Source organism: Homo sapiens, chromosome 7, assembly GCF_000001405.40.
Source record: "Homo sapiens chromosome 7, GRCh38.p14 Primary Assembly".
Classification (NCBI taxonomy): Eukaryota; Metazoa; Chordata; class Mammalia; order Primates; family Hominidae; genus Homo; species Homo sapiens.
This window is the reverse complement of record NC_000007.14, coordinates 75,486,598-75,505,282: the sequence shown is the minus strand read 5'-3', so window position 1 is coordinate 75,505,282 and position 18,685 is coordinate 75,486,598. Positions and strand designations below refer to the sequence as shown.

The following is an 18,685-nucleotide window of genomic DNA, read 5'->3' as shown; positions in this document are numbered from 1 at the left end:
ATCACAAAGAATTGCATGGCAGAGTGCCTGTCTTTCACAGCTTTAACTGCTGCAGGAACTTTCTTTTTTTTTTTTTTTTTTTGAGAGGGGGCGAGGAGACACAATCTCTGCTAGTGATTCTCCTGCCTCAGCCTCCCAAATAGCTGGGATTATAGGCGTGCACCACCACGCCTGCCTAATTTTTGTATTTTTAGTAGAGACAGGGTTTCACCATGTTGGCCAGGCTGGTCTCAAACTCCTGCTGGGATCATGGGTGTGAGCCACCACGCCCGGCCACCTTTAGAGTTTTCTTACCACCTGGTTTTCCTCTCTCAATATTTTTCTCTCATTTCCTGCCTTAAAACTCTAGCTTGGCATCTGGGCGCAGTAGCTCATGCCTGTAATCCCAGCACTTTGGGAGGCCGAGGTGGGTGGATCACTTGAAGTCAGGAGTTCGAGACCAGCCTGGCCAACATGGTGAAACCTTGTCTCTACTATTTTTACAAAAGTTAGTCGGACGTACAGACGGGTGCCTGTAGTCCCAGCTACTTGGGAGGCTGAGGCAGGAGAATTTGTTTGAACCCAGAGGTGAAAGTTGCAGGGAGCCGAGGTTGTGCCACTGCACTCCAGCCTGGGAGACAGAGCAAGACTCTGTCTCCAAAACAAACAAACAAACAAAAAAACCCTGTAGCTTGGGATCAGCCTTCTCTTCTATTGTTTTTCTTTAAAAAATAAAAATTAAAAATAGATGTAGATGCTATGTTGCTGAGGCTGGCCTCAAACTCCTGGCCTCAGGTGATCCTCCTGCCATGACCTCCAAAACTGCAGGGATTGTAGGTGTGAGCACTGCACCCAGCCTTATGTTTTTTTCTACATAAAAAACAGCACAGGATTATCTTCCAGAGCTAATAAATATGTTCAAATAACCACAACCCCATTAAGGAAAAATATCACTGGGCAGCAAATAATCAATCCAGACCAATATGATCACAATTGCTGTGAAGGTGAGAAAAGTTCATTTTTATTATGTTTCCCCAAGAGACGCACTCTATTGTTCTCTTGAAAACACACAGCTCATGTCCTCCTTTAGAACACACATCCTCTTTAAAGTAACATACAAACATGCCAAAACAAGGTAAAAAATTACACCTGAATTCTCACATTTCAAACATATATGAAATATCAAATAAAAATTTATTTTTACAAGAATTTAGGGGAACTACTACATAGCTATAAATGTAATATATATGTTAACTAAGTATCACAGATAAAAACCATGCTCCCTTCAGCAACACGTGTAATAATAGATACAAAGATTGAAAGGTAAAAGATTTAGGATGAAAAGAATCCTCTCTTAAAAAGGAAAGCAAAATTATACGTATGTGTATATAACAGTTATAACACCCATCACACAGCTTTATAGAAACAGCATCTATTCAAAAATAGCAGTATTTCAAAAATATTTAAAATAATATTTCAAGTAATAATATTTAAATAAATATATTTAATAAATATTTCAATAAATAAAATAATATTTAAATAATTCTATACCCATGTTTTTCAAAATAAACCAATAAAATAGATAGTATATATTAGACGTGTTAGTATATATATCTGAGACATGTTAAAAATCACAACTGAATTCTCACAATTCAGTCACAAACCTAAACAGCAAATAAAAATTTCTATCACCAGAATTATGTTTTTTTTGTGGTGGGGAACTACCAATAGCTATAAATAGAAGAGATTATTATGGAAGTATCATAGATAAAAAGAGTGCTCGCTTCAGGAGCACATATAATAATACAGAAAGAAATTTAAAGATAATAAAATATTTAGGATAAAAAGAATTGTCTCTTAAAAATGAAAAGAAAATTATCTTTATGTATATATAACAACTATAACTCTCATCAAAAAACTACAGGAACAGCATGTTTTCAAAAGTACAACAATTTCCAAACTATTTGAAATAAATCTATGAATAATTCAATGGCCAACATTTTCCAAACAAACCAATAAAATGCAGAGTGTGCATGAAGCTATCTGTTACAATCTGTGGCACTGATATTTCACAGAAGAAATCTGTGCCAATCTGAGCCCCTGCATTGTGCCTTCAAATGCTTCTGGACTGTGGTAACCAAGTCCATAAGAAACAGGACCTCCAGGTTCCGCCCCAGGGAGGTTGGAATTCAGCAATATAGAAAGGGTGGTGGTGCTGCAGGAAAGGGTGGAACTGGAAACACTCCTGGTTTCTTACTTTTCTCCAAGGACTCCTAGAAGGACCCCACCCCCCTCCCCCCACCCCTGCTCCTAGGAGGACAACGTGATCACTGTATTCAGCTCCATCAAGAATGGTCCAGGTTCTTCTAGATGATCTGCACAAATGGTTCCTCTCCTCCTTCCTGGTGTCTGCCATTAGCATTGGAATAAAGTTCCTGCTGAAAATCCACATCTCCCCTGGGTCCGGTGTTCTGGAAGTGAGAGAGACAATGTCACACTTCAAGGAGGCAGCTCTCTAGACAGGAAGGTTATTCACGTCCCATGTCAAGTCTAGAGTTCAGAGCAATTGAGAAATGCAATTTTATCTGCTGCCTTTCATTCTATACCCTGCTTCTGAACCTTGGTGTTCAACTGTGAAACTCACACTTTGGTGACGACTCCAAAACTCACTTAATACACCCAAGGTCAGCCCCAGTGATCTGCTTCATAGCAAGGACTTTGGGTGGGTCTGCCCAGGGAGTAGGGCACCCTCAGAGAATGTGGCTTTGGACTTCATCACAGCTGGGGCCTTTTGTGTCTCTTAAGATCCAGACTTGTAACCATGCTAGATGTGTTTCTAATGTGACAACATCACGAACCACGAGTCCAGAAGCCTAATCCTTAATCCTACCTCCTCATGATGAAGTCTTATGCTCTGTGCTCACCGTGGTTAGCTGCACAAGATGTAAACCAAAGCTTCACTGAACCCTCGACCCAAATCGGTAACTCAAGTGCATCAATCATAATGAACCTCCCCCAACTCAGTATTTATGATTATTTTTGAGGCAGGGTCTCACTCTGTCGCCCGGGCTGGAGTGCAGTGGCAGGATCAGGGCTCCGTGCAGCCCCGACCTTCCAGGCTCCAGCGATCCTCCCGCCTCAGCCTCCTGAGTAGTTGGGAGTAGAGATGCCTCCCACATCGCCTGGCTAATTTTTGTATTTTTGTGGAGAGGGGATCTCGCCACGTTGCCCAGGCTTGAAGCCGGATCAAGCAATTGGGTTCTTCGGATTTCCGAAATAGACCCCAATATTCTGCCTTTACCCCGGAGGATGCAGATGTACCTTCTCTCAGGCCGATGACCTCAGGCCTCCACGGTCCCTGGAGCTCTAGGAAAGGTGAGCGCGATCTCGCGCCCACACCCAGTGCTCTGGGTCATAAGCCTGGATCTGGAAAAACAAACGCCCTTTGAGAAGACGGGGACTCGCCAGGATACCCCTCTCTCCCCTCATCCAGCCTCCAGCCCACCCGATTCCTCCCCACCTCCTCCACCTCCCCAGGCCCCACCTACCTCCTCCAACTCCTCCGGGGAAACCCAAGCCCTGCCGCTCATGGAACAGAAGAACTGGAACCGACGTTTCTGGAACAGGACTATCTGAGAGCGGTTCTTCCTGGCCCTCAGGTTCATGGAACGGCCTAACTGGAACCGACGCTTACGGAGCAAGGGTATGCGAGAGCGGTTCTTCCTGGCCCTCGGGTTCATGGAACGGCCTAACTGGAACCGACGCTTACGGAGCAAGGGTATGCGAGAGCGCTTCTTCCTGGCCCTCGGGTTCATGGAACGGCCTAACTGGAACCAACGCTTACGGAGCAAGGGTATGCGAGAGCGGTTCTTCCCATACAGGAAGTGGAAGATGTTTTGTTTGGAGTCCTCGTCGTCCTCCTCCATGTCATTGGCCAGGTAGCTGAGGACAGAAATCAGGTTGCTGCTCAGGGGCACCACCAAGAGAGGCCTCCGGCTGAGGTCAGCTTCCCAGAGAGGAAGGTAAGGGACCGTCCCTAGCTCAGGACTGGCACCCACCCTGCAGAGAGCCACGCCTTCCTCAGGAGGGCTCTGCTGGACAGAGACCTGATCAAGGGCGTCTCCCACTCCTTCAGGATGGAGACAAAAACCCAACTGGTGGCCGAGAGTGGTGGCTTATGCCTGGAATCCCAGCACACTGGGAGGCCAAAGCAGGAGGATCACTTGAGGCCAGGAGTTTGAGACGGGCCTGGGCAACATAGCAAGACCCTCGTCTCTATTAAAAATATAAGAAATATGCCAGACGCGGTGGCTCATGCCTGTAATCCCAGCACTTTAGAAGAATGAAGCAGGTGGATCGCTTGAGACCAGGAGTTGGAGACCAGCCTGGTCAACACGGAGAAACCCCATCTCTACTAAAAATACAAAAATCAGCCTGGTGCGGTGGCACACCCGTTAGGCCTAGCTACTCAGGAGGCTGAAGCATAAGAATTGTGTGAACCCAGGAGGCGGAGGTTGCAGTGAGTTGAGATTGGGCCACTCCATTCCAGCCTGAGAGGCAGAGCAAGACTCTATCTCAATAATCAAACAAACAAACAAACAAACAGTCCAGGTGTGGTGGCACAGCCCTGTAGTCGGAGCTAATAAAGAAGCTGAGGTGGGAGGATCGCTTGAGCCCAGGATATGGAGGCTGCGATGAGCTATGATCTCACCACTGCACTCCAGCTTGGGGGACAGGGGAAGTCTGTCTCAAAAAAATAAAAGAAATTGAATACATTGATATTTTGCCAGGACCCTGCCTTCTACAGGCATCTAGTCTAATGGGACTGGGAGTAATCAAGGCAGATGACCTAATCCCAGTGTCCAGGATGTAACTAGAGAGCTACGGGCATGCAGAAGTTGGAAGATGAGGGAAGGCATCACAGAGGCTGTGGGGTGAACTGACTTCAAGGAATGGGTCCTTCCCTTCAGAGCCACATGTGTGCGGGACACCCAGACAGAAAACACAAACACAAAGTCGAGTGGAGGGCATTTGGAAGAAGCAGTGAAGCCGAGCCAGGAAATACCAAGATGGCGAGCCAGTGTGCTTGTAGAGATTGTAGAATTGACACTGTGGACCCTGGCCTCGATAGAGAAAGGCATCAGCTAAGGAAGTTGTTCAGGTGGGCAGTGAGGTTGTCGTGCTTTGGAAAGATGTTCAGGCTGCACTAGGAAGCCCCCTGGCTTGGGGAGAGACTCCAGGAGACCCCAGCAGGGAGCATTTGACAGTGGATTCGAGTGATGCGAGGGGGACCTGAACTGTGGCCTCTGTCATGGGAACCCAGAGGAGGTCGATGGCGTTTGTGGTTGATGTGGGAAGGAGAGAGAGAGAAGAACCAGAAACGTCTGCTTGCTGGAGGAAGCGGCATGTCCGCTCCTCCACTCCTTTTCTTTTCCCCTTAGGAGCGGTTTATGGTTCCTTTTGTTTTATTCTTTTATTTGTACACTGGCATTGGAGTTTGTTTTTTTGGCTTTTTTTTTTTTTTTTTTTTTTTTTTTGAGAAAAAGTCTCACTCTGTCACCCAGGCTGGAGTGCGGTGGCTCGACCTTAGCTTACTGCAACCTCCACCTCCTGGGTTCAAAGGGTTCTCTTGCCTCAGCCTCTCGAGTAGCTGGGATTACAGATGCACACCACCACGCCCAGCTAATTTTTCTATTTTTCGTAGAGACGGGGTTTGGCCATGTTGGCCAGGCTGGTCTCGAACTGCTGACCTCAGGTGATCCGCCTGCCTCGGCCTCCCAAAGTGCTGGGATTACAGGCGTATGCCACTGTGCCCAGCCTGAGTTTCTGTTTAGAAACAACAGTCTATGATAGTATAATCCTCTCTTTTTTGTACACAGAGTAAAGAGGACAAATAGGTGAAAGAATAAATGAAAGGCTGGAATCCCACTTCCCCCGCTGTCCCAGGGCATTGGATATTGATGGATAGGAGGCAGCAAACCACTCACAGAGCCAGGAAGAAATGAATGCGTTGGTATTGCCAGGAGGGGAAGCCGGCCCGGCTGAAATACGCTATGACCATAGCCAGGAGATACTGATGGAGAGAAAGGAACACAGAGAGGGAGAGGTCACATCTTGGAAGAGGAAGATTGTGGAGAGGGGGAATGAGGGTCTGGGGAGGGGCTGCCCATCAGAGAAGGGACCTCAGTGTTGGGGTGACTGTACTCATTTGGAAATTGCGGGATGGAGGGGTATTCGAAGGTCGGATGCAAATCCGAGAAGCCAGAGGAAGGGTTTTGGGTGATGCTCCCAGGATGGTGGGCTCCGATGGGATCTTTGGAGGGGGTGTGTCTAGGTCGGCTGGTGTAAGGAGGGTCTTTTGTGTGCCAGGCAGAGAACTGTCCTGAAGAGCTGAGAGTAGAGGGGCCAGGAGCTTCAGGGCTGCGGCCAGACTGTGGCCCAGAGCTCAGATCCCAAAGGACCCATAGGAGAGGCAGGGGCCACTCATTCACTCTGCAAGAGACCAGCAGAATCCTGAGGGAGATGCTGACAAATCATAAAAAGACCAAGAATAGCCGGGAGTGGCGGCTCAAGCCTGTGATCCCAGTACTTTTTGAGAGGTGGAGACAGGAGGATCATGTGAGCCCAACAGTTCTAGAACAACCTGGGCAACATAGTGAGACCCTGTTTCTACAAACATTTCAAAAATTAGTTGAGCATGGTGGCATGTGCCTAGTCCCAGCTCCTCAGGAGGCTGAGGAAAGAAGATTGCTTGAGCCCAGGAATTAGAGGCTGCAATGAGCTATGATCATGCCACTGCACTCCATCCTGGGGAGCAGAGCTAGACTCTGTCTCACAAAAAAAAAATTTGTGGGTGCCAAGACTCAAGACCATGGGAGCTGGTCGGGCACAGTGGCTGACGTCTATAATCTCAGCACTTTGGGAGGCCAAGGCAGGTGGATCGCCTGAGGTCAGGTGTTCAGGACCAACCTGGCCAACATGGCAAAACCCCGTTTCTACTAAAAACACAAAAATTAGCCAGGCGTGGTGGTTCATGTCTGTAATCCCAGCTGCTTGGAGGCTGAGGCAGAAGAATCGCTTGAACCCGGGAGGCATCGGCTGCAGTGAGTCAAGATTGAGACACTGCCCTCCAGCATGGGCAACAGAGCAAGATTCTGTCTCACAAAAAAAAAAAAAAAAAAAAAAAAAAAAAAGACTGTAGGAGCATCTGGTGGGAGGTGGTGGAGGGAGAACTGTGGGTTTGGAAGCTGCGCCCTCCCCCGAGCCATGCGTTGGAACAGGAACAGTTACATGGAGAACAACCTTACCTTGTCCGACACCCTCAGATCTTTGTCCCAGGCCAGGAATCTTTTAATGACAGGATCCTCTGTGATTAGAGAGCAGATGTCAGTGTGAGAAGCAGGACAGGGTTTCCGTGGGAGCAGCAGGGCAGCGAGGAGAAGTGTGCCTCCCGGGGGGAAGTCTCAGGATTGTGGCCGCGGGTGAGGTGGATGGGAGAGGGGAGAATGACTTTCACTGGGCAAGGGAGAGAGGCTCCTGCTCTGAGACTCCCCTGAGAAGAGGCCGAAGGAGGCCCTGGGTGTGAGAATCTACAGGATGTAGAGCTGGGAATCAACCAGGACCCCCTCCAGCAGACACGGAGGGACCACTGCAGAGTCATAAAGGAATTCCCATCATTTCCTCATGAGACAGTCACATCAGGGTGTGACCATGGCCTTGGTATCCCTCACTATGGATGGAAACACTTAGGTTTAGAAAAGTCAGTAAGAGACATTAAGTTTCAGAGGGCACAGCTGAAACCACTTTCTTTGTTTATTGATTTTGTTTTTCTTTATTTGATTTTTATTTTTATTTATTTATTAATTTATTTTGAGACAGAGTCTTGCTCTGTGGGCCAGGCTGGAATGCAGTGGCCTGATCTTGGCTCGCTGCAACCTCTGCCTCCCGGGTTTAAGCGATTCTCCTGTCTCAGCCTCCCGAGTAGCTGGGATTACATGCATGAGCTACTGTGCCCAGCCTTGGTTTTTCTTTTGAGACAGTGTTTTGCTCTGTCACCCAGGCTGGAGTGCAGTGGTGTAGTCATAGCTCACTGCAGCCTCAAAGTCCTGAGTTCAAGCAATCCTCTTGCCTCAGCCTCCCAACATGCTGGGATCTCAGGCAGGAGCCACTGCACCTGGCCCGAAACCAAGCTTTCTTATCCCAAGCGCTGACCTTTATCAAGTTGACCTAATCCTTTATCATCTCCTAAGTGTCCCTCATGAGTGATCACTTCACATTCCTCCCACATGGAGAGCTCACCCACTGGGGCATATTTTTCCCATTGGAAAAGTGTGGTTATTGGAAGTTTCCTGTTTTTGGAAAGAACAGGATTGGAGGTGCTCTCTGGGGTGTCCTCCTACCAAGCAGCCTGTTGAAGGCCTCGTGGTGCTCAGGGAGCACGAGCGACACTCGCCGTCGCTTCAGCTTCATCTTGAGGCCACACAGCATCTCCGCCACCCAGATCTCCTCAGGCTCAGGGGCGAGCACCTTCCGTGGCTCCTCCTCCAACGACTCCTCAGATTCGTCCCACCACTCCATCTTCCTTTTCCAGCAAAAGGACCTATGCGGGGGGCTGGGATCTACCCCAGGGGCTGAGTAAAGAAACCAGGCCATGGTGTAATGCTTCTGCAGTTGATCACACTAGAGCCCAACCCAAAACCCCAAACCACTCTCCATCCTCCCCAGCCTCGCAGACTGCTGGCTTCTCCAAGCCATCTTTCCTTCTGTCTGTCTCCTCTGCTGAGCTCCATGTGCTGCTCCTTCTCCTCCCCATTCTCCCGTTTCTCTGTCCTCAGAACACTTCCTCATATCCTTCCCTGGTCCCTGGCTCTCTGAGTCCCTTTTTTTTTTTTTTTTTTTTGTTGTTGTTGTTGTTGTTGAGAAACAGTCTTGCTTTGTGGCCTAGGCTGGAGTGTAGTGGTGCGATCTTGGCTCACTGCAACCTCCGCCTCCTGGGTTCCAGTGATTCTCCTGCCTAAGCCTCCCAAGTAGCTGGGATTACAGGTGCCCACCAGAACGCCCAGCTCATTTTTGTGCTTCTAGAAGAGACAGGGTTTCACCATGTTGGCCAGGCTGGTCTCCAACTCCTGGCCTCAAGTGATCTGCCTGCCTGGCCTCCCAAAGTGCTGGGATTACAGGTGTGAGCCAGTGCACCCTGCCTCAGTACCTCCATTCTTCCCACACACCCTCCTCACGTGCTCCTTCCTGACTTCTGGGCCCTTCCTTCCTTCTTTTTTTTTTTTTTTTTTTGACACAGCGTCTCAAAAAAATGCAGTGGCGCTATCTTGGCTCAAAGCAACCTCTTCCACCTGGGTTCAAGCAATTATCCTGTCTCAGCCTCCCGAGTAGCTGGGATAACAGGCATGCCTGGCTAATTTTTGTATTGTTAGTATAAATGAGGTTTCGCTATATTGGTCTGGTTGGTCTCGAACAACTGACCTCAAGTGATCCACCCATCTTAGCCTCCCAAAGTAATGGGATTACAGGCATGAGCTACCACACCCGGCCTTCGTTTTTCTTTTGACACAGGGTTTTGCTGTGTCACCCAGGCTGGAGTGCAGTGGTGCAGTCATAGCTCACTGCAGCCTCAAAGTCCTGAGTTCAAGCAATCCTCTTGCCTCAGCCTCCCAACGTGCTAGGATCTCAGGCGTGAGCCACTGCACCTGGCCCGAAACCAAGCTTTCTCATCCCAAGCGCCAACCTTTATCAAGTCTAGCCTAGTCCTCTATCGTCTCCTAAGTGTCCCTCATGAGTGATCACTTCTGAGTCCTCCTGCGTGGAGAGCTCACCCACGGGGGGCGTATCTTTCCCATTGGAAAAGTGTGGTTATTGGAAGTTTCCTCTTTTTAGAAAGAACAGGATTGGAGGTGCTCTCTGGGGTGTCCTCCTACCAAGCTGACTGTTGAAGCCCTTGTGGTGCTCAGGGAGGATGGGTGACACTCGCTGTTGCTTCAGCTTCATCTTGAGCCCACACAGCATCTCCACTACCCAGGTCTCCTCAGGTTCAGGGGCGAGCTCCTTCTCCGGCTCCTCCGCAGATTCATCTGACCACTCCCTCTTCCTTTTCCAGCCAAGGGACCTACATGGGGGGCTGGGATCTACCCCAGGGGCTGAGTAAAGAAACCAGGCCACCGTGTAATGCTTCTGCATCTGATCACCTTAGACCCCGACCCAAAACCCCAAACCACTCTCCATCCTCCCCAGACTCGCAGACTGCTGGCTTCTCTAAGCCATCTTTCTGATTTTCTCCTCTGCTCAACCCCATGTGCCGCTCCTTCCCCTCCCCATTCTTCTCTCTCTCTGTCCTCCGAACACTGCTTCATGTCCTTCCCTGGTCTCTGGCTCTCTGAGTCCCTCCTTTTTTGTTTTGTTTTGTTTTGACACAGAATCTTGCTTTGTCACCCAGGCTGGAGTGTAGTGGTGCAATCTCAGCTCACTGCAACATCCATCTCCTGGATTCCATTTATTCTTCTGCCTCAGCCTCTCAGGTAGCTGGGATTACAGGTGCCTGCCATAATGCCCAGCTCCATTTTGTACTTTTAGTAGAGACAGGGTTTCACCATGTTGGCCAGGCTGGTCTCAAACTCCTGGCCTCAAGTGATCCGCCTGCCTTGGCCTCCCAAAGTTCTGGGGTTACAGGTGTAAGCCACCACACCCAGCCTGAATTTCTCCATTCTTCCCACACACCCTCCTCAGGTTCTCCTTCCTGACCGCTGACCCTTCTTTTCTTTTCTTTTTTTTTTTTTTTTGGAGTGCAGTAGCGTGATCTCAGCTCACTGCAACCTCTTCCTCCCAGTCTCAAGTGATTCGCCTGTCTCAGCCTCCTGAGTAGCTGGGATTACAGGTGTGCACCACTACCACTTGGCTAATTTTTATACTTTTAGTAGAGATAGGGTTTCACCATATTGGCCAGGCTGGCCTTGAACTCCTGACCTCAGGTGATCCGCCCGCCTCGGCCTCCCAAAGTGCTGGGGTTACAGGCGTGAGCCACCGCACCTGGCCCCCTTCCTTCGTCTTAGTCAATCCTATCCCACCTCTTCTTCCACCAGTCCCCTCACCTGATGGTCCCAACACTTCATCATCCACCACCTCCTGGAGGGGGTACCCCGAGGTGCTCCGCTGGGGACTCTGCTCATTCTGGGGTTGCGGTTGACGGCTGGTCGTGATCTTTTCCGTAATCTGTCCCCTCTTACGGAACCTAGTCTCCGTTCTGTCCATGGCCTTCTTCTGATCACTGCTAGGATCCAGAAGAGTATGTTATCAATTCTCAAGCCTAGGAGAAGTCAGGAGTGGAGAACAGCTCTGAGAAGATACTGTTGTCCAACTGATCTCCAGGCACCACGGAGTCCGGTCCCTCCAATCAGGATGGTCGGAATCTCTGATGTCATCGCTCATGCCAACCTGGCAACCAGTTTGAAAAAAAACACATGTAACTGCCAGGCTGATCTCTTGTCCTGGAGATCCTGGGTGAATGGTATCTCCTGCCACTGTCCCAACCTCAGACCATTGTCCAAAAGCATCTTCAGGGACTCCACATCCCTCTGTTCCCTGTCCCAGCAGAGGCTGTGTCCTCTCCACTCAAAGCCTGAAGCATGTTGGGGTCTCTTTGTCTCTGTACATGCCCATTTCAGAGTCCAGTCTGGTGGGAGAGGGAACAGAGTGGGAAAGAAAACTAGGGTAAGCAGAAACGATGAAACCTTATAAGAGTGAGATTATCATGTACAAGAGTGAGATTATCATGTACAAGAGTGAGATTATCATGTACAAGAGATCCCAGGAATACTGACTTGATGAAAAAGTCACATCAGAGCACTCAGTTTGGCAGAGCTTTTCTGCCGAATGTTTACTCACATTCACTGTCCGAGATTCTATACTGGGGGTACACACGTCCTCTGCCCTAAGGCAATTTTGAGTCCAAGAGACATTTTGAGGCCTAAAAATCATAGGAAACTGCCCCTGAGCTCACACATATTTCCAATGGTGTCCCCAATTTCAGGGAATCCATGGATTACCTAAGCCAGCCCCTCCAGTTCGGCTAAGAAACTCTAGTCTATATATCAAGTTTTGTATCATATGTATTGCTCTGAACTCAGAAATTTCCCTTCCATTTATGGATTCTATGAATAAAATATCACATGTACAAAAAGACTAAGTCGAAAATTTCAGCTGTGCACAGTGGCTCATGCTTGTAATCCCAGCACTTTGGGTGGCCAAGGGAGGAAGATTGCCTGAGGCCAGCAGTTCAAGACCAGTATAGGCAACATAGTAAGAGCCCATCTCTAAAAAAACAAAACCAAACCAAATTAGCCAGGTGTGGTGGCTGGCACCTGTGTTCCAACTACTTGGGAGACTCGTGACAGGAAGATCACTTGAGCCCAGGAGTTAGAAGCTGCAGTGAGCCATGATCTTGCCACTGCACTCCCGTCTGGGCAACACAGCAAGATATTGTGTCAAAAAAATTTTTTTTGATAAAAAATAAAAGAGTTACATGACATTCAGAGACCATCCAAAAAACCTGTGGGTTCCCGGCTGGGCTCAGTGGCTCATGCCTGTAATCCCAGCACTTTGGGAGGCCAAAGTGGGTGGATCACTTGACGTCAGGAGTTTGAGACCAGCTTGGACAACATGGTGAAACCCCATCTCTACTAAAAATACAAAAAATTAGCCAGGCATGGTGGTGGATGCCTGTAATCGCAGCTACTCAGGAGAGGGAGCTGGAGAATCACTTGAACTCATGGTGCGCAGGTTGCAGGGAGCCAAGATCGCACCATTGTGCTCCAGTCTGGGCAACGAGCAAAACTCCATCTCAAAAAAAATAAAGAACCTGCGAGTGAGTTCCCACACGTTTTCCTAATGGGCTGCTGCTTTCCTAGGAGTCTCTCGCTCATAGAAAAGGCACACACTGAAAGAGGAAGCAGATCCCATTGCTGTGGAAGTCCCATTGTTAGGAAGCTCTGCTTTTCTGGAGTTCAAATTCGCATTCATGATGCTTTAAACCGTCAGAGCTGGGTGGGTCCTTCTACAACAAAATCGTTTGCTCTCTCTCTCCTAGTTAACAGGCTTTCAAATATTAGAAGATCAATGTTCTGACCCCATTAAAATTTCTCTTTTGTGGAATGAAAATCTCTGATTTAACCCATCTTCAAGCCTGGTTTGCATATTCCTCTCTCTTCCGGCCACCTTGTCTAGACACACTACACTGAGGCCATGCCCATCGTAAATGATGTTGATATGTTGTCAAAAAATTGGCAAACCAGGCGCGGTGGCTCATGCCTGTAATCCTACCACTTTAAGAAGCAGAGGCAGACAGATCACCAGAGGTCAGAAGTTCGAGACCAGCCTGTCCAACATGTTTAAATCCGTCTCTACTAAAAATACAGAAAAAATGAGCTGGGCGTGGGGGTGCACATCTGTAATCCCAGCTACTTAGGAGGCCGAGGCAGGAGAATCGCTTGAACCTGGAAGGCAGAGGTTGCAGTGAGCCGAGATTGCATCACTGCACTCCAGCCTGGGTGACAGAGCGAGACACCATCGCAAAAAAAAAAAAAAAAAAAAAAAAAAAATGGCTAAACAGCCCAGGTTTGGTCTGATATGTTCAGAAAAAAGCAAAACAGTCACCTCTCACCTTTTTTTTCTCCGCAGTGATGCAGTTGAATACAACAATGGCTGTAGGTATGCTGCAGAAATATCATTCAAGTGAAACAGAAGGGCTTTCCTGGCCAGACACAGTGGCCACTCCTGCAATCCCAACACTTTGGTTGGCTAAGGTGGGAGGATTTCTTGCGGCCAGGGGTTCAAGGCTGCAGTGAGCTGTGATCCACCACTGCATTCCAGGCTGGGCATCAGAGTGAGGCCTCTCTCTAAAAAAAAAACCACTCCCCAAAAAAAGGGATTTGCAAATACCAGCCTTTCAGCATGAGGATCACATGGAGGAACATTAAGATACAGTTGCTGGGACCCAGCCCTATTGATTGTAATTCAAAAACTGAGGTGGGGCCTGATTTAGCTCCATCATTGGAATCCATTCCGATTTGAAACTCTCTGGGTTGGACAGTTCAAGAGAGATCCTAAAGAAAGCAAAATCACTGTGGACTGAAATGAGTAGACAAGGTTTTCTGAGCATGGTGAAATATGATCTGGGCCTCGCTTGGGAGGGCTGTGGCCAGGCCTTGAGTCCTTGGCTCAGTGGGACCTTCTGAAACAGCCTCCAAGCTGCACCCCTGCTTCCTTTGCTTTTGGATGACCCCCTCCAGCAGCTTTGGTGCTGATGGGAATAAGTCGACCTGCAGCGGAAGTTCAGCCCAAGTCTCAGCCCAGCAGCCTCCCCAAACCTGGCCAGGGTCTGGTCATGCTGCCGTCTCTGCGGTTCTCTGTGGAGTTGTGGTTTCTGTACCTTGAAGAGAACTTCCCCTTCTGGGACCCAGAAACCCAGTGAACCCTCAGGAAAAAAGGGAATGAAATTACTGAAGACAACTCTGTGGCAGGGAGAGGGAAAAGAGGCTCTTTGTTTTTGTTTTTTATTTTTTATTTTTTTATTTTTTGAGACAGAGCTTCACTCTTGTTGCCCAGACTGGATTGTAATGGCTCAATCTCGGCTCACTGCAACCTCTGCCTCCCATGTTCAAGCACTTCTCGTGCCTCCGCCTCCAGAGTAGCTGGGACAATAGGCACACACCACCACACCCAGCTAATTTTCGTATTTGTGGTAGAGATGGGGTTTCGCCATGTTGCCCAGGCTGGTCTCGAACTCCTGGCCTCAAATCCACCTGCCTTGGCCTCCCAAAGTGCTGGGACTACAGATGTGGGCCACCGTGCCCAGCCCTCACTGTATGGATTTTCTAAAAAAAAAAAAAAAAAGATTACATTTGTCTTACTTGCCAAAAGGGAAATTAACCTTATCTCCTCTCCTTTTTAAAGAGTATTTCCTTGATAAACCTTGTAATATAAATAACTTCTTTTGTGCCTTTGATATGTACCTAAATCTTTTAAAAAGGTAAATGAACTTCTTGCCGACATTACAACCCAGGAATTTTTTTTTTTTTTTTTTTTTGGAGACAGAATCTCGCTGTCACCCAGGCTGGAGTGCAGGGGTATAATCTCGGCTCACTGCAACCTCCACTTCCCGGGTTCAAGCAATTCTCCCATCTCAACCTCCTGAGTAGCTGAGACTACAGGCGTCTGCCACCACGCCTGGCTAATTTTTGTATTTTTAGTAGAGACAGGGTTTCACCTTGTTGGTCTGGCTGGTCTTGAACTCCTGACCTCAGGTGATCCACCAGCCACGGCCTCCCAATGTGTGGGATTATGGGCGTGAGCCACCGTGCCTGGTCACAATCCAGGAATTTTTTTCTTAAGAGCCTAAGAGTCTTGTCTTTGAAATGTAAACCTGGAGGAAAATAGTGTCCCTATCTTCCTGTTGCCTAGGGAGTTTAGCCTAGGCAACTTGAGCTGTTACTACCTGCTTGTCAAGGAGATGTGAGAAGTTTTATTTTTTCATTGAATACAGGTAATTAACTAGCATGGATGGCCACGTTGATTTCCAGGTGAATTTAGGATGAGTGTTTAAGAATGTATAGCAGGCCAGGCGCGGTGGCTCACACCTGTAATCCCAGCACTCTGGGGGAGGCCGAGACGGGCGGATCACTTGAAGCCACACAGAAATCGAAAGAAGGAGTTTGAGTCCAGCCTGGCCAGTATGGCGAAACTCTGTCTCTACTAAAATACAAATATTAGCTGGGCATGATGGCACATGTCTGTAATTCCAGCTACTTGGGAGGCTTAGGCACGAGAATCACTTGAACCCAGGAGGTGGAGGTTACAGTGAGCCAAGAAGATCACACCACTACACTCCAGCCTGGATGACAGAATGAGACCCTGTCTCAAAAAAAACAAAACAAAAAAAACTGCATAGCAAGTCCTTTTGCATGAGGATGAGTTACTATTTATCTTGAGAGCGTGTATGCAATGGATTGTATCTGCCAGGCTATATAAAAAGGACGCTTTGGCCGGGCGCCATAGCTCACGCCTATAATCCCAGCACTTTGGGAGGCCTAGGCGGGCGAATTACGAGGTCAGGATTTCGAGACCATCCTAGCTAACATAACGAAACCCCATCTCTACTAAAAATACAAAAAATTAGCCAGGTGTGGTGGCTCGCGCCTGTAGTCTCAGTTACTTGGGAGGCTGAGGCAGGAGAATCCCTTAAACTGGGGAGGCAGAGGTTGCAGTGAGTCGAGATCGCACCACTGCACTCCAGCCTGGGCGACAGAACAAGATTTTGTCTCAAAAAAAAAAAAAAAAAAAAAAAAGGAGGGTTTATTTCTCTTTGCATCTCATTAATGGATCACCTGTGATGGGCATCACAGTCTGGTTTAATGCTTATTCAATAATAAAATTGTTTTCTTTATTTTCTGAATTTGTGGAGAGAATATTCTAGGTTAACAGAATAATCTATTTATTTACTTATTTATCTTGAGATGGAGTCTTGCTCTGTCTCCCAGGCTGGAGTGCAGTGGCCTGATCTCGGCTCACTGCAATCTCTGCCTCCCAGGTTCAAGTGATTCCCCTGCCTCAGCCTCCCAAGTATCTGGGACTACAGGCACGCACCACCGCACCCGGCTAATTTTTTGTGTTTTAGTAGAGACGGGGTTTCACCATGTTGGCCAGGATGGTCTTGATTTCCTGACCTCATGATCCGCCGGCCTCGGCCTCCCAAAGTGCTGGGATTACAGGCGTGAGCCACTGCACCTGGCTTCAGAAGAATTTATTTTTAGTCTTTTCCTTACCAGTTTTTATGAAACAACTGGGCAAGAACACTGTTAGATTTCACCAAAAAATTGTGATGAATCATTGTCTTTATGATCCCATTTTTGAAAATTGACATTTTAATTGTAAACCAAAAATAAAATTCTAAGCCCCCACAACTGACTCAGTGGACTCCCCTGTTGGCCAACAGGATCCAAAATAAACATGGAAAACTAATTTAGGTCATGATGGGAAGGAGGGGGTTGGATATGCCTTGTCATAATTCTCCTCCCGTCAGAGTTTAGGCACAGCTGACCAACATTATGATCTCTATTAGAATAGACATCATAGGACTGACAAAACAGGCTCTTTTTATCAGTAAGATACCCATCTCCAACCAGACTCTGATATAGCATCACATGACAGATAGCAGTCCCTGAAGTAAATCACAGTATTTTACCCCATAACATATTTTCTTTGACAAACTTTAAAATAGTCCTGCAAAGCCATCTCTTTGGGGGAAATTTGCATTCTGTAGAGAATCTCTTTGCCTTACAGAAAAGACTCCAGGTCTTTTCTGGAGAGTCTGACACCTTTTAAGATCCAATAAGAGATATTTATCATCTATTCTCTCTGAAGCCTGTTCTGAGGCTTCACCTACATAACAAGAACCTTGGTTTCCACAATCCCCCTTATCTTAACTCAAACTTTTCCTTCTTTTTTTTCCCTCCCTCTTTTTCCTTCCTTCCTCTCTCTCTTTTTCTCTCTCTCTCTTTCTTTTCTTCTCTGTTGCCCAAGCTGGAATGCAGTGGTGCCATCATGGCTCACTGTAGCCTCAACTTCCCAGGCTCAAGCGATCCTCCCATCTCAGCCTCCTGAGTAGCTGAGTCTACAGGCATGCACCACCACACCTGGATAATTATTTTTTTTTTTGTAGAAGTGGGGGTCTCGCTGTGTTGCCCAGGCTGTCCTTGAACTCCTGGCCTCAAGGGATCCTCCCAGCTCACCCTCCCAAAATGCTGGGAATACAGGCATGAGCCACCGCAATGGCCCATTTCTTTATGTAGTCTTCCAGCTGTTCAGCCAACACTTAACTCTGAACCAACTGCCAGTCTTTCAATCTACTAGTGACCTGAAAGCCTTTCCTGGCTGACCCAACATATACTTCCCATGTATTGATTTATGTCTTTGCCTGTAACTACTGTCTCCCTAAGATGCATAAAACCAAGCTGTAACCCAACTACTTTGGGCTCACGTTCTCAGGACCCCCTGAGGCTGTGTCACCAGCCATGGTCACTCAAATAGGAGGCCCAGAATAAAACTCTTTATAGACTTTGACTCTTTTTGGTCAACATAACCTAACCCTAAACATAATCCTCCTGGGGAAGGTAGGATCACAGGTATCTCTTCCTCGTTCAGTTTGTGTGTGTATGTCCTTATTTCTCTACGGTTTTTAGGCATTCGCTGTGTGATCTAGAAAAGCTATGGAGTCTCGCTTTGTCGCCAGGATGGAGTGCAGTGGCGTGATCTCGGCTCACTGCAACCTCCACCTCCCAGGTTCAAGTGATTCTCCTGCCTTAGCCTCCCGAGTAGCTGGGATTACAGGCACGCGCCACCACGCCCAGCTAATTTTTGTATTTTTAGTAGAGACAGGGTTTCATCATGTTGGCCAGGATGATCTCTATCTCTTGACCTCGCGATCTGCCCGCCTCGGCCTCCCAAAGTGCTGGGATTACAGGCTTGAGCCACTGCGCCCAGCTACAAATTCTATTTTCTTTTTGTTCCTTGGAAAGCATCGCTGGGCATTTATCCTGTCCCAGTATTTGAGTGAAACTTCTCAGCATTTCAGAGCAGTGACCATGATACACCCTTTCCTTTCCTTCTCCTTATGGGAAACTCCGTTCTAACCCAGAGGACTTGGGCT

At 47.9% G+C, this 18,685-nt stretch overlaps 1 protein-coding gene across 3 annotated transcripts; it reads right to left on the bottom strand.

Annotated features, from left to right (window-relative positions):
- Positions 1-966: 966 nt before the first annotated feature.
- On the bottom strand, positions 967-13,653 carry SPDYE5 (speedy/RINGO cell cycle regulator family member E5). 3 transcript variants are annotated; one of them, NM_001306141.4, is made up of 9 exons: positions 12,842-12,963; positions 11,076-11,656; positions 9,909-10,127; positions 8,379-8,609; positions 7,287-7,345; positions 5,967-6,052; positions 3,528-3,921; positions 3,301-3,405; positions 967-2,450 (listed from the first exon to the last, which is right to left on the bottom strand). In NM_001306141.4, the coding sequence occupies exons 2-8, from the start codon at positions 11,233-11,235 to the stop codon at positions 3,346-3,348; spliced, it is 1,209 nt and encodes a 402-aa protein (NP_001293070.1). In that variant the 5' UTR covers positions 11,236-11,656; positions 12,842-12,963; the 3' UTR covers positions 967-2,450; positions 3,301-3,345. The 3 variants fall into 3 exon arrangements, with proteins under 3 accessions (NP_001293070.1, XP_047276364.1, XP_047276363.1); XM_047420408.1 differs by having other exon boundaries at positions 2,250-2,450; positions 11,076-13,653; XM_047420407.1 differs by lacking the exons at positions 967-2,450; positions 3,301-3,405; positions 5,967-6,052 and having other exon boundaries at positions 3,837-3,921; positions 11,076-13,646.